Below are 12665 nucleotides of genomic sequence, written 5' to 3' on the forward strand. Positions count from 1 at the left end.
TGCTCTGCACTCCCACATCTGATACCCTCTCCATTTCACGTATTTAACATGGACTCTGGCCGCAGACTCCTCAGGTTCACTCTTCTGTGTCTCGGCCTCCCCATCTGCAAGTGGAGACAGCAATATATCTATGTCATGGGTGCTGTGACAATTAAGTGACATGAACAAAACACTTAGAACAATACCTGGCACTGTGTCAATTTAGCTGTGTTCTCAATGTCACCTCTCACTTGGTGTCTGACTCCCTCACTAGAATGCCAGCTCCATGAGGCCAGCTTGCCAGCGCGCTCTCTGCCGCCCTCTTCACCCGGAACAGTGCCTGACATATAACAGGGGCACAACTGGAATCGGTGAATGGATGAGTGGCTTCTGGCAGCCACTGCACTTGCATTCAGAGTGGCAGGGGCCTAGGTGCCTCGGGACCCCTCCCCTCCAAAGTAGCAGGAAATCAAACCTGGCTCAGGCCAGAGGGGTGGACAGCTAGGGCCCCGGGCCAGGCCAGGCCCTGGGGAACCAGTTTGAGAAGCTCCTCCTCTTCTGGGTACATGTGGGGTGGATGGGCTGGGAGGGTCTGCTCTGCGGCAGGGGGTGCATCCTTCTCTCTTGAAGACACTCCAAAGCTGAGCCGCATAGCCTTTGCTCAGGCCTCAATTCTACCCCCTGGCTCCGTGAGTTGCCCAGGCCTCCCTCCCAGATGAGTGCCCTCCCTGGGGATTAGCCCGACACCTTCTTGCAGCCCCAGGGCCGTGGTGGCCTGCCCAGACCAGCCAGGAGCCAGGCTGGGGCCAACTTAGCACTCAGCATGGCTTGTGATGGGTGGGTGGTGGGCTGGGCTCAGGCCTCAGAGAATACCCGGCTCAGACCCCAGCGTCCCCATGTTCTTGCTGGGTGACTGGGCAAGTTCCTTGGCTTCCTGACTAGTCAAACAGAGTGCACCTATTCTTCTGTTCACATGACTTGGGATTTCCAGTTCTGAAAGCATTGATCAGCTCCCGCTCCGTACCCGATGCTGCACGTGGCTCTAGGGCTGAATGTGATGTGGGTCGTGGCCAGCTTGTTCCTAACTATCCAGCTTATTCTCAGTTCCTCTGGGGCCTCCTCTTGTCCTGGGAGTCTGTCCTAGTCCAGGCTGTGGGGTTGGCATGGAGCTGGGGCCTCTGACCCTGAGTGTTGACACCTGGTCGGGTGGCCCCAGTTCCGTCTGTCTCTGGGCGTCACGCCATGCAGGAAATGGCTGTGGGCCCTGTGTCTAACAGACAGGCCCCTGTGGGTCCGCCCAAAGCTGCACACCCTCGGGCCCCTGGGGACATGCGCTCTGCCACTCTAGATGTGTGTGCCTGGGAGGCTGCCTCGGGCTGGAGTGAAGGTGAAGGAAAGGGCTTTCCAGTCCCCTCTCTCTCAGTTCCCCCAAACTTTTCTGAGCTTCTGTCATTCCCACCCCACCCTGGAAAGGGACTTGGCCTAAAGTGAGGTGGGGCCGGCTCTCTGTCTGTCCTCGTATCACCCTCCCTGTGGGCTTGGGTGGCAGGCAGGGCATGGCCAGAGCCTGGGTTTCTGCTGCTGCCGCCTCGATTTCAGCCCCTCTGTTCTTCGTGAATCGCTCTGCCACCCCTTTCCCGGGCCACTCACCCCAGATGGGGGAAGGGTTGTGGGTAGCAGGAAGTCCGGGGGAAACCCACAGTGGTTCACATCTCAAGAGCCTCAACCCGCTCACAGCAACAGCACTGACCTGACCAGAAGACAAGAGGAAGACGGAGACGAGAGGAAGATGGAGACAAGAAGATAGAGACAAGGGTGTGCCCCCAGGGAGCCTTGCCTGCCCCTCTAGGGCTGGGTGTGTTCTTACCATGGTGGGAGACCTGGGGGCTCTGGCTGCCCTGTGGATGTTGGATGGGGGTGAGGTAGACCCACAGACGCAGGCAGTGGTTGGACAATGAGGTGTCTGGCTGCAGGAGCAGCTGGCTGGGGGGCTGGCCTGGGTGTTGGGGGCTGTGGCCTGCTCTGCCGAGAGACTAAGCTGCCTTCCCTGAGCCAGGAGCAGCAGGAGGTGACATCTAGGAACAGTGAGGTCCCAAGTTAGGCAGTGACAAAACATTTGACAAGACTAACATCTCTTCCCATGAGATGACCCTAGGGAAAGAACAGAATAAATACAAACATCTGTACCTTCAGAAAACTTCCCTAAAACAAAAAGATTTGGAACTACATATTGAAAGAGTACACCATGTATTTGAGAAGACAGACCCAGGGTAACCAACATCAAAACATGTTCTAGTAAAATTACCAATCTAAAAAAAAAAAAAAAATCCTTGAGTCCAGGTTAAAAGAGTGAGGGACTTATACTAAAATAAAAATTAGATTGTCGTGCGACTTTTCAACCACAACACGTTCTGCCAGAAGAAAAAGGAGAAACATACTGTACTTAAAATACTCGAGAGAAAATGTGAGCCAAGTACTATGCACCCAGCAAAACAGACTTTGGAGTATAAAAGGCACAAACAAAAAGCAGCCCCAAAGGACTCAGGAAATAATGTTCTCAGGGTCTGAGGGGCCCAAGGAGCCTATCAGAGAATGACCTTCAGGCAACCAATAGAGTCCTCAATGGAAGCACTAGATAAGGAACCAAGGCTAAACCAAGGCTGAAAAGGAGAGTATAGTGTCTTGGATAGCGACTACTTGGGGCCAGTGTCACTGGAAGTAAAGGAATTTACCAAGACAGTTGTAGGTAAAGAAAGGCAGATTTATTGAAGTATGAAAGGTAGGTGGCTCACGCCTGTAATCCCAGCACTTTGGGAGGCCGAGGCGGGCGGATCACGAGGTCAGGAGATCGAGACCATCCCGGCTAAAACGGTGAAACCCCGTCTCTACTAAAAATACAAAAAATTAGCCGGGCGTAGTGGCGGGCGCCTGTAGTCCCAGCTACTTGGCAGGCTGAGGCAGGAGAATGACGTGAACCCGGGAGGCGGAGCTTGCAGTGAGCCGAGATCCCGCCACTGCACTCCAGCCTGGGCGACAGAGCGAGACTCCGTCTCAAAAAAAAAAAAAAAAAAAAAAAGGTAGGATGCAGTGGCTCACGCCTGTAATCCTAGCACTTTAGGAGGCCAAGGTGGGCAGATTACCTGAGGTCAGGAGTTTGAGACCAGCTTGGGCAACATGGTGAAACCCCGTCTCTACTAAAAATACAAAAAAATTAGCCAGGTATGGTGGTGCATGGCTGTAGTCTCATCTACTCAGGAGGCTGAGGCAGAAGAATCACTTGAACCTGGGAGGTGGATGTTGCAGTGATCCGAGATCGCACTGTTGCACTCCAGCCTGGGTGACAGTGAGACTCTGTCGAAAGAAAGAAGGAAAGAAGGAGAGAAGGAGAGAAACAGAGAAAGAGAGAAAGAGAGACAGAGAGAAAGAAAGAAAGAAAAGAAAGACGTTGCAAGGGTGCAATGGGCAGATCAGCAAGAGAGGAGCTGACTGCCAGGAGACAGAGGCTTGCTGGGGATTTCGCAGGACGGTGCTCGTGCTGTGTGCTGGAGTGGGCCATGTGAAGTATCGCTAACACCAAGGTTGCAGCGAGCTAACTTGCATTTTTCTATCAGCCAAGGGTCTGGTGATGAGTCAGGTGTGGGAAGGTTGTGAGTTATTTGTGCAGGAGGGCTATGTGTTCTGGATCAAGAAGAAAGGCAGACTTATAGCTTATCTGAGTTTTTTTTTTTTTTGCCAGCCTCACTCCTTTTCCCTTATTAGGACCTATGTTTTGCGTGTGATGGCTACATTTTCTGACCGTGTAGATACAGATGGGATAAGGAAACTGGGTGGAGAATGGGGAGAGCATATGAGAACAATGTAATTGTTTTCAGTAATGCTGGTAGAGTATTAGTAGCAGTAGTGGTGGTTGTCATTAGGATTTTACTATTGTTATTCTAAGACCATTGAGTGTGTAAAGTGGAAAAGAGCAAATAAACAACTATGAGAGACAGTGTACATTCATTTTCCTGAGAAGCAGAATTCTAAGTGTGGAAGAAAGAAGATGGCAAATGTAATATAGTAGGGTTTAAGTCAAAACTCTAGTCCTGAATTCTAATTGGAAATATTAGTTTGAACTCATGAGGCCCTTTTATGTTTTAAAAAAATGTTGGTATATTTCCTAGCTCTGTCCACTGTAAAGGTCTTAAAGGAAAAAAAAGACCAACCCAGTAGCAATGAGCATCCCTAGAATCCACACTGTGGTCTTGAAATACAAACTCCTACAGCAAGAAACCAGGGCTTTTTGGAGCAATGGCTGATTCTAGGTCTGGAGCAGGAAATATGCAAGATGAGTGGAGCCACCCTGACACATTGCATAGCACGAAACCGTCAAAGCCACCAGGGCCACCTCCAAGGCTTCTGCCGCCAACTTAAGAGGCATCCACTGGGCAAAGATCAAACCATTTGAGCTTGGAAAAGGATAGTCATTGCCATTGATTGAAGCTTTCAAATGTTTGTTTGTTTATTTATTTATTTATTTTGAGACGGAGTCTTGCTCTTTCGCCCAGGCTGGAGTCCAGTGGCACGATCTTGGGTCACCGCAACCTTTGCCTCCTGGGTTCAAGCAATTCTCCTGCCTCAGCCTCCCAAGCAGCTGGGATTACAGGTGTGCACCACCATGCCTAATTAATTTTTTTGTATTTTTAGTAGAGACAAGGTTTCACCATTTTGTCCAGGCTGGTCTCGAACTCCTGACCTCAGGTGATCTGCCCGCCTCGGCCTCCCACAGTGCTGGGATTACAGGCGGGAGCCACCCGTGCGACCTCAAATATGTTTAAATCCAAGTGTTTGTAGTGTTATTAAATAAGAAAACCTTGATTGTTCCATGGTGGAAGGTGAGAGGGAACTAAGTCACTCTCCCAAAACTGGTAAAGAAGAGAAGGTGCATTTCTTTTTTCTCTTTTTTGAAATGGAGTTTTGTTCTGTCATCCAGACTGGAGCACAGTGGCACAATCTCAGCTCACTGCAACCTCCACCTCCCCAGTTCAAGTGATCCTCCTGCCTCGGCCTCCTGAGTAGCTGAGACTAGAGGTGCATGCTATCACGCCTGGCTAATTTTTGTATTTTTAGTAGAGACAGGGTTTCGCCATATTGGCCAGGCTGGTCTTGAACTCCTGACCTTAGGTGATTCACCTGCCTTGGCTCCCAAAGGGTTGGGATTACAGGCATGAGCCACTATGGCTGGCCCAGCCCCATTTCTTATTTGAACTGTGCCACTGGGTAGCCAGCAGCAGATGAGAAGAAGCATCTCTTTCTAAGAGGGTGCCACAGAATAACTAAAACAGGAACATTAGAGTCAGAATTGCATCATTGCAGCCCCTGATGAATTAATGGGCCTGGGCCTGGAGCATCAAGAGCTACTGACGTCACCAGGGGAGAGACAAGCTGGCCTTCCCGTGCCCTGCAGTGGGAACACAAGGCAACCTTTGGGCTCGCCAAGGGACTGAACAGGAGCCTGACGGAGCTTCTGGACCCAGCTGCCAATTTGCAGAGAACGTAGAGGACAGAGGAGGGTGTCAAACAGCAGAGTGAACCTGAAGCAACACAATGCGGGCTGCAGGAAACGGCGAGGAAAAGACAGGGAGGGAGGCGCAGCCTGCAGGTGACTAGAGACTTATCAAAAGGCACGTCAAAAATGTCTACAAGGCTGGGCGTGGTGGCTCACGCCTGTAATCCCAGCACTTTGGGAGGCCAAGGGGGGGTGGATCACTTGAGGTCAGGAGTTTATGACCAGCCTGGTCAACATGGTGAAACCCCACATCTACTAAAAATACAAAAATTAGCCAGGCATGGTGGTGTGCGCCTGTAATCCTAGCTACTTGGAAGGCTGAGGCAGGAGAATTGCTTGAACCGGGGAGGTGGAGGTTGCAGTGAGCTGAGATTGCGCCACTGCACTTCAGCCTGGCTGACAAAGTGAGACTCAGTCTCAAAAAAAAAAAAAATGGTCTACCACGTCAAGATTAAACTACATTATCTAGAGAAGGATGGTTGGGTGATAAGCCTGTAAAACAAAACCCACAACGAGGCTATTTCCCTAAAAGTTAGGACACTGGTTGCTTAACAGCAGGCAGGGCTGTTATTGTACCTCAGGGGACTCAGGGGCAACAAAGTTCTCTTTCTTGGCCTGGAAGGCGGTTCAAAAGAATTCACTTTGTGATAATCACTAAGGTGCACACATGTTTTGTATGTTTCTCTGAGGCTGCGTGAAAAGGTGAGAAATGAGAGCTGTGCTGCTACCACAAATAATGAGAATATCAGAAAACCTGATACAAGGCCAATGGAGTCACTAACGACTCACTGGGGACCAGGGATGTCTTCCTGGAGGAGGTGGAATCGGAGCAGGGCTTCGGAGAGTGGACGGGATTTGGGGTAGACCAGGGTTTCACAACCTTGACATTGACATCTGGGGATCATTCTCTGGTGAGGGGCCGTTCCGTGCACTGCAGGGTGCTGAGCAACATCCCAGGCCTCCACGCATTTGATGCCACTTGGCACCCCCAGACCCCGAACAGTTGTGACAATCAAAAGCATTTCGAGAAATTGCCAAATGTTCCCTGGGAACAAAATTTACCCCAGTTGATTTTTTTTTTTTTTTTTTTTTTTTGAGATGGAGTCTCATTCTTGCCCGGGCTGGAGTGCGGTCGTGTGATCTCGGCTCACTGCAACCTCTGCCCCTAGGGTTCAAGCAAGTCTCCTGCTTCAGCCTCCCGAGTAGCTGGGATTACAGGCCCCTGCCACCATGCCCAGCTAATTTTTGTATTTTTAGTAGAGACGGGGTTTCACCATGTTGGCCAGGCTGCTCTTGAACTCCTGACCTCAAGCGATCAGCCTGCCTCGGCCTCCCAAAGCACTGGGATTACAGGTGTGAGCCACCGCACCTGGCCCAAAATTTCCCCCAGCTGAGAACTGCTGGATCCGAGAACCACGCACAGATTAGAAATGGAGAAAAGCCTGAAACTCCCTGGAGGGTCTGAGCTTTGCAGACGCTCCCTCCTGCCCTTAGGTGTTAGTTCTGTGAGAGGCCAGCATGGCCACTGCCTGAGGTCCTCACAGGAGTCTGCTTCCTGCCCAGCCTTACCCTGGGTCTCACAGCCTGACCTCGGGCCTTCCTGCAGACCTGCCTGCTGTCCCAGCTGGAGCTCCTTCTCTCGAGAGTTCCTGTGACCCTGGCTGTGGCCAGAGCCGGGGTGCGGGATGGTCCCAGGCCTGATGGTGTCTGACCACGTGATCACACCCTCCCCAGACCGAGGAGGAACCTGGGGCTGGGAGGGAAGTGCCTTGCCCACAGCCACACGGAGGGCAGAAGCAGCCCTTCCCGGGCCCAGGCTGCTACTCGGCCCAGCCAGCTGCGTCTGACGGTGGCAGAGCTGCAGTGTCAGCGCCGGGAGGGCCCGCAGAGCCCCATGGGCAGGCTCTTATTTCACTGGTGGGGAGACTGAGGCCCTGGGGTGGGGGTTCCAGGCTAGTTATGGACAGAGCCAGACCAGAACTCAGATGTCCTTACTCCCAGGGTAGATGGGACCCTCGTTTGAGCATGTCATTATTAAGCCCCTGCGTTGTCCTAAGAGCTTTCTCTCATGTGTCCTTTCTGAGCACCTGCGGCGTCTATGCCACTCCACTGAGTTCTGTAAACCCCACAGGTAGGGGCAGAGGCCAGAGGGGTGGGTGACATGGTCAGCCTGCATCCCAGGGCACCCTGGACAGAGTGAACCAGAGGACGGGTGTGGAGTACGTAGCGGAACATCCTGGGAACTGCTACTCTCATGACCCTTGTGGCTACCATCAACCGTTTCAAGAGAGACTGCAGGGAGGCCCCACTGCTCCAGACCTGGGAGCCCCATGTTTCCAAGGCCCTGAGTTCCTCTATAAGTCCCAGGGGCAGGAGGAGGGGACGTGGAAGGTTGAGCTCCCACGCCCACCCAGCTTCACTTGGATTTGCCTAAAACGTTCTTTGAAACAAAGAATTCTATTGTTTAAGACACTGTTCTCAAACCAGGCACTGGGGCTGGAACCTGTGCCTTCTGGAATTCCCTGCCCTCTCGGAGGACTCCGAGACCTGGCTGCAGCCACCCCTGATTCTCCTGCACCGAGGAACACCCCGTGGGATGTGCTGGCCACTGATGGCTGACCTCTGTGCCGCCGTTGCCAAGGGTGGCCGGACTAAAGACACGCTTGTGAGAGCACCACGGGCTCCAGAGGAGTGGCTCCTGCTTCTGGGGGAGCAGCCAAAGCCTGCTCTGCGCTGCTTTGCAGAGACCTCTGAGCCAGCCAGGTGCTCCCAGGGGACGGGTGGGCCGCCGGCCTGCAGGTTATGCACAAAGCAAGGAAGTGTGACGCCACCAGAGGGAGGTAAACAGAAGGACGCTTCCTCTTTCGCTTCCACAGGCCTCCTGCCTGATCCAGAAGGTTCTCAAACTACAGAAATATTTCCCTCCCAGCCTGTACAGGGGCTCAGGTAGCACTTCTGATGTTGCCCTCCTTGTTGGGGAGGAAAGGGAATTTTTTATTTTTATTTTTATTTTTTATTTTTTAGAAGGAGTCTCGCTCTGTCGCCCAGGTTGGAGTGCAGTGGCCCGATCTCAGCTCACTGCAAGCTCTGCCTCCTGGGTTCACGCCATTCTCCTGCCTCAGCTTCCCGAGTAGCTGGGACTACAGGCGCCCACCACCACACCCGGCTAATTTTTTGTATTTTTAGTAGAGACGGGGTTTCACCGTGTTAGCCAGGATGGTCTGGATCTCCTGACCTCGTGATCCACCTGCCTCAGCCTCCCAAAGTGCTGGGATTACAGGCGTGAGCCACTGCACTCGGCCTTTTTTTGTTGTTATTTTTGAGATGGAGTCTCACTCTGTCGCCCAGGCTGGAATGCAATGGTGCAATCTTGGCTCATTGCAGCCTCGGCCTCCTGGGTTCAAGAGCCTCACCTGCCTCTGCCTCCTGAGTAGCTGGGATTACAGGTGCCTGCCATCATGCCCTTTGTATTTTTTGTAGAGAAGGGGTTTTGCCATGCTGGCCAGGCTGGTCTCGAACTCCTGACCTCAAGTGATCCACCCACCTCAGCATCTCAAAGTGTTGGGATTACAGGCATGAGCCACTGGCGCCCAGCATTGAGTATGCATCATTTGTATGTGTTGGATACACTTCAAGTCTTCTCTTCTAGCTATTTTGAAATATACAGTAGTTGTTAACCAGAGTCACCCTACTCTGCTATCCAACGTTAGAACTTATTCCTCCTATCTAACTGTATGTTTGTACCGTTAGCCAACCTCTCTTCATTCCCCCACCCTCCTTTCCCTTCCCAGCCTCTGTTAACCAACATTCTACTCTCCACCTTCATGAGATCCACTTTTTTTGGCTCCCATGTACGAGTGAGAACGTGCCACATTTGTCTTTCTGTGCCTGGCTTATTTCACTTAACACAGTGACCTCCAGTTCCATCCACGTTGCTGCAAATGACAGGATTTTATTCTCATTTTATGGCTGGATAATATTCCATTGTGTAAATATACCGCCCTTTCTTTATCTTTTCATCTGTTGGTGACACTCCGGTTGAGTCCGTATCTTTGCTGTTGTGAATAGTGCTGCAGTTGATGTTTATGCGGGTGCAAGCATCCCTTTAATAGATGGATTTTCTTTCCTTTAAATACCTGGTAGTGGGATTGCTGGATGGTTTGTAGTTCTACTTTCAGTTTTTTGAGAAATCTCCTTACTGTTTTCCATAATGGCTGTACTAATTTATGCTCCCACCAACCAGTGGATGAATCCCTTTCTGTCCACATCCTTGCCAGCATCTGTTATTTTTTGCCTTTTTAATAACAGCCATTCTGGCTGGGGTGAGATGATATCACATTGCAGTTTTGATTTGCATTTCCCTGATGATAGTGATGTTGAGCATTTTTTTCATATACCTGTTGGCCATTGTGTGTCTTCTTCTGAGAGATGTCTATTTGTCTATTTAGATCCTTTGCTCACTTTTTAATGGAATTGTTTTAAAAACAAACAAAACAGGTGAGAGGACACTGCTAGAATCACAGAGGTGAGCTGGGGGTGTCTTGATGGCTGACAGCAGCTCACCCCCACCCCACCCACTTTACAGATGAGAAAACTGAGTCCCCGAGGGTTTAAGTGTTTAAACGTTTAACAGGTGATTGGTTGACATTGTGAACAGACAGGTTCTGGCACTGCAGCTTTAGGGGAGCCAGAAAGCCCTGCTTACTCCCAAATTGTTCCTCACTGTCCCATTGCAGAGAACATTTCCTTCACTAGCTTCTTCTCCTTTGGAGTGGCTGGGCCAGGACAGGAAGGACACCAGAGTCAGGAGGCCTTCTGTTCTGGCCTGGCTACTGACTCGGGCAAGCCGTGTTACCTCCCTGACCTCAGCCTCCTCCCCTAGAAAATGGGATGATGAGGCCAGGCACGGTGGCTCACGCCTGTAATCCCAGCACTTTGGGAGGCCAAGGCGGGTGGATCACGAGGTCAGGGGATCGAGACCATCCTGGCTAACACGGTGAAACCCTGTCTCTACTAAAAATACAAAAACTTAGCTGGGCGTGGTGGCGGGTGCCTGTAGTCCCAGCTACTCGGGAGGCTGAGGCAGGAGAATGGCGTGAACCCAGGAGGCGGAGCTTGCAGTGAGCCGAGATCGCGCCACTGCACTCCAGCCTGGGCAACAGAGCGAAAAAAAAAAAAAAAAAAAAGGGATGATGAAACCTACCCCCAGAGCTGCTGTGAGAATTAATAAGACAGCATCTGGAATTAAAAAACAAACAGGTTTTTTCCTACTCTCAGACACATCATTTACCACTCAGCACGGAATACTTCATCAAAATGTGTGTGGGGATTTCTGTCCACCAGCAAGCAATTCTTCTCCCTAGCTGATACCAACAGGTGTCCTCTCATTTAATTCAATTCCAACACCATCCACCTGGAGGGCTCAGTCTCACGTGACAGCCTCCACTTCTGATGCCAGTCGCAAGCCTTAGGTGTGGCCTGTGCTTCTGACCGACCTGCCATGAATCAGGGTTCCCACGACCCCCTCCTCGGGTCTGATGGATTGCTGGAGCGGCTCACAGAACTCAGGGACACTCTGAGCCGCGTTTACCCATTTATGACACAGGCGGTGACGAAGGTGCGGATGCACAGCAGGTGGGGGAGACGTGTGGGCAGGCACGGGGAGGGGCGTGGAGCTTCCAGGCCCTCCCAGCACCACCTCCAGGCACTTGTGTGTGTTCAGCTATCTGGGGGCTCCCTGAACCGTGTCCTTTTGAGGTTTTGAGGGGCTTCCTTAAGTAGGCATGACTGATTACATCATTGGCCATCAGTGATCAACACAGCCTTCTGCCCCGACTTCACTCCCCAGAGAAGCGGGATTGGGGCTGAAATACCCAACTGTCTACTCCAGGGGTGCCCAATCTTTTGGCTTCCCTGGGCCACACTGGAAGAAGAAGAATTGTCTTGGGCCACACATAAAATACACTAACACGAATGATAGTTTATGAGCTAAAAAAAAAAAAAAAAATCACAAAATCTCATAATGTTTTAAGAAAGTTTAAAAATTTACTTTGTTGGATTTACTTTGTGTTGGGTTGCATTCAAAGCTGTCCTGAGCCGTGAGTTGGACAAGCTTGGTTGCTTCTTTTTTTTTTTGAGACGGAGTCTCGCCCTGTCACCCAGGCTGGAGTGCAGTGGTGCCATCTCGGTTCACTGCAACCTCTGCCTGCTGAGTTCAAGTGATTCTCCTGCCTCAGCCTCCTGAGTTCCTGGGATTACAGGCACTCGCCACCACACACAGCTAATTTTTTGTGTTTTTAGTAGAGAGGGGGTTTCACCATGTTGGCCAGGCTGGTCTCGAACTCCTGATCTCAGGTGATCCACCCTCAACCAGTGCCCCATCCTGAGGTGATCCAGGAGTCCCAAGGCATCAGCCGTCTCATAAGCACACAAAAGGCACTCTTAGAGTCCCGAGATTACAAGGGTTTCAGGAGCTATATGCCAGGGACCAGGGGCAGAGACCCTTATTTCTTTTTTTTTTTCTTTTCCACAAGATCACACTGTATATGTAAATAGCTCAGCTTGGAGCCTGGCCCATAGTAGATGCTTAATGTCAAATTTTATAAGATAGAGATAAGAGTTATACCTTCTGCAGCCACTAGGATTAGAGTAGACAACATATAACAGAAAACCTCAAACAACATAAAAGCTGGTTTCTCTCACATTAAAAAATCTGGAACTACATAGTGTACGGCTAGGAGAGTTCCATGGTCACCAGAGACCCAGGCACCTTCTCTTTTTCTATTCTGCCATCCTTATCACCTTGTGGTACAGATTGGCTGCTGAAGATCCAGCCATCACATCTCAACTCCAGGGAGCAGGAAAGAGAAAGAAGGAAGAGTGTAGTGCACAAGAACTTTCCTGGAGGCGTCACCAGTGGCAGCTTGCTCATTCCTGTTTTCCAGGGAGGCTGGCAAATGTCATTGGTTTCGCTGAGCATGTTACCATCCGCAGTAATAGAAGGGTTCTGTTCACAGAGAGGAAGGGGAGCATGGATACCGGCATGAGACCAGGAGTGTCGGGCAGACTCTCCTCACAGAGCGACTTGGGAAATGAATCATTGTCATCAAGGTGTTTATTCACTGTAATCATATTTTAA

The 12665-nt window shown here is 50.9% G+C and overlaps 4 annotated features.

The window, feature by feature from the left end:
- Positions 910-1279: an enhancer, noted in NCBI's record as "active region_28040". NCBI's record gives its function as "activates an Ori minimal core promoter by ATAC-STARR-seq in GM12878 lymphoblastoid cells {active_cell/tissue: GM12878}" and the evidence as "EXISTENCE:reporter gene assay evidence [ECO:0000049][PMID:35858748]".
- Positions 1440-1569: an enhancer, noted in NCBI's record as "active region_28041". NCBI's record gives its function as "activates an Ori minimal core promoter by ATAC-STARR-seq in GM12878 lymphoblastoid cells {active_cell/tissue: GM12878}" and the evidence as "EXISTENCE:reporter gene assay evidence [ECO:0000049][PMID:35858748]".
- Positions 6186-6419: a silencer, noted in NCBI's record as "fragment chr8:142104647-142104880 (GRCh37/hg19 assembly coordinates)". NCBI's record gives its function as "represses an EF-1alpha promoter that drives an FKBP-Casp9 reporter gene in an ReSE screen in both phorbol 12-myristate 13-acetate-treated (for megakaryocytic differentiation) and untreated K562 erythroleukemia cells {active_cell/tissue: K562 | K562(+PMA)}" and the evidence as "EXISTENCE:reporter gene assay evidence [ECO:0000049][PMID:32094911]".
- Positions 6665-7664: an enhancer, noted in NCBI's record as "H3K27ac-H3K4me1 hESC enhancer chr8:142105126-142106125 (GRCh37/hg19 assembly coordinates)". NCBI's record gives its function as "activates a minimal SCP1, AML or CMV promoter by ChIP-STARR-seq in primed H9 embryonic stem cells {active_cell/tissue: H9 hESC(primed)}" and the evidence as "EXISTENCE:reporter gene assay evidence [ECO:0000049][PMID:30033119]".

This window comes from Homo sapiens, chromosome 8 (genome assembly GCF_000001405.40).
Source record: "Homo sapiens chromosome 8, GRCh38.p14 Primary Assembly".
Taxonomy (NCBI): domain Eukaryota; kingdom Metazoa; phylum Chordata; class Mammalia; order Primates; family Hominidae; genus Homo; species Homo sapiens.